Consider the following 2,384-nt stretch of genomic DNA (forward strand, 5'->3'; position numbering starts at 1 on the left):
CAAGTACTATCTTGAAGTTATGACCAAGACCCATGATTTATTTTAACATTGTGACGAAGTATCAACATAAATTTCTGGGAGGATTATGGCCATTATACAATTAACTAAAGAGACATTGAGACTCACGTTGAGTAGAGGTAAAGAGCTGTGCAGTGAAGGATCTTCAGTGACAGGAGTGAAGGCAGAGCATGTTCACAGATGCAGAGCAGTTGGAATATTTCTTGAAGAAAGGTGAGTTTTTTCTTCTGTTACTCCCTTTTCTGTAAAATAGATGGCAGAGTATCAGCTTGATGCAAGAGGCAAGGAGATGTTAGAGGTTTGATGAGAGAAAACGTTCATATTGGAAGTATTTGAGAGTTCATAACCTAGGGGGAAAATAGGAGGACTGCTTAGTAGAAATTATAAATTGCATGAGATATATAAGTATCTCCATTCACATAAAATGAAAACAGTGAGCACAGCTGTTTCAATTTTTCCCAATTGTATACTTCTTGCATACAGTTGCTGAAGAGGAAATTAATTGGTTTTAATCATTAAAATTAGAGATGAGAGAATTTCCCAGCAAGTATAAGAAATGTAGAGCAGGGAAAGAAAATGATGAAGCCCTGTCTTTATGTTGGGTAAAGAAGAAAGGAAGAAAATGATAGGTGTGGTGAAGTTTAAAAACTGGTAGTGTCAGTAAATTAGATGATGCAAAGTGTTGGAATAGTATCTGGAGTGAGAATATTGGAGTAAGTAATCTTGAAAAACAGATGAATGCAGTCAGTAGCTAAATGTTTTAAATAATTTTGGAAGTGAAACATTTATTGATAACTATATATATGTGTGTCTGTATATACACACATACACACACACGAGTGCACACATGTGCACATACTAGTGTACCAGGGTACACTGTGGAATAGTGCAAATTAATAAGACAGGATGTGGATGATCTGATGACATTTTTATTTTTCTTGGATGAGAAGTAATATATATCCTGTCAATCTCTTCGAAATAGGGAGGAAATCTGTCTCACCAACTCACCTGCCTGTTTTGTAGCTGACTGAGTGACAGAATATATATCCATCATCTAATAGTACTCAGGGAAGCATTATCCTGAAGCTGTAACCAAAATTGTGCTATTATTCTTATTTATCATAATTACTATTCCATGTCTACAGAATGTTTGTTGAAATCTTCCATTTGGAGTCAGGAAAAGTTCTTCTATTGTCATTCCTGTGTAGCCTGAAGTTAGTCACCTTTGTAAAAACTAGGAGAAGACTATTTATCCACTGGCCGCTACTGTTTCTCCTATTCCACACCCATAAAATATTAGCATAGTGATCATGGCAAACCCCCAATATAAAAAAGAGATACTCAATTGTGTCAATAATTGAGAGAATAAACATGTAATAAATAAAAGTGTGTTATTCTAATAACTGTTTTTGTCTTATTTAATTTTGGCTGCCATAACAAAGCATCATAGACTACATGGCTTATAAACAATAGGAATTTATTTCTGAGTTCTAGAGGCTAGAAGTCTGAGATCAGGGCACCAGCATGGTCAGGTTCTGCTGAGGGTCCTCTTCTGGACTATAGATTGCAGACTTCTCATTGTATATTTATTGTATCCTCTTGTGGCAGAAAGAAGGCTCGAGAATTCTATTTTTTTTTTTTTAATAGAGGCACTAGTGACATTCATGAGGGCACCACCATACCAAGTAATTTCTTTCCAAAGACTTCATCTTCTAAAATGATCACATTGGGGATTTGGATTTCAATATATAAATTCCAAGGTGACACAATTGTTCAGGCCATTGCAGTTAACATAATTTTTAATTTAGAAATTTAATTGCACTCTTTGAAATATTTAAGAAGAAATATGAGAAGAAAGAATACGCCCATAGTAATGCATTTTAGTGAAGATTAAAACTGTTATTAAATAGCAGAATGGAGAAGTAGATTGTGTAATGCCAGGGGGCAATGGAATAAATAAACTATAGCTTTTTCACAACATCGATAAATTTCACAAATGTTCATATGGAAATGTACACAAGTCATAAGTATGCAGCTTAGTGAATTATTACAGTGTAGAATGGAAGATTACCTCACCAATTAAGAAAGAATAAGTAAAAAAGGATATTTGAATTATTGCAAAGTAAATATTTAATGAAGTAACACATTTTCCCAGTGAGATAGGAAAAGACATAGAAAGTGATGAAAAGAAAGATGAGATAAGTAGGTACTCCACACATTTTACTTGGGGATATACCCATATACCCATTGATGATAATGGGTTAGCTAGTCACCAGCAACCAGTTCTTTAAATGTTCACAGCCTATGATTCAGCAATCTCACTTCCAGGAACAGATTTTGTAGATATATTTGCACAAAATTTTAAA

The sequence above is a fragment of the Homo sapiens genome, chromosome 4, assembly GCF_000001405.40.
Source record: "Homo sapiens chromosome 4, GRCh38.p14 Primary Assembly".
Lineage (NCBI taxonomy): Eukaryota > Metazoa > Chordata > Mammalia > Primates > Hominidae > Homo > Homo sapiens.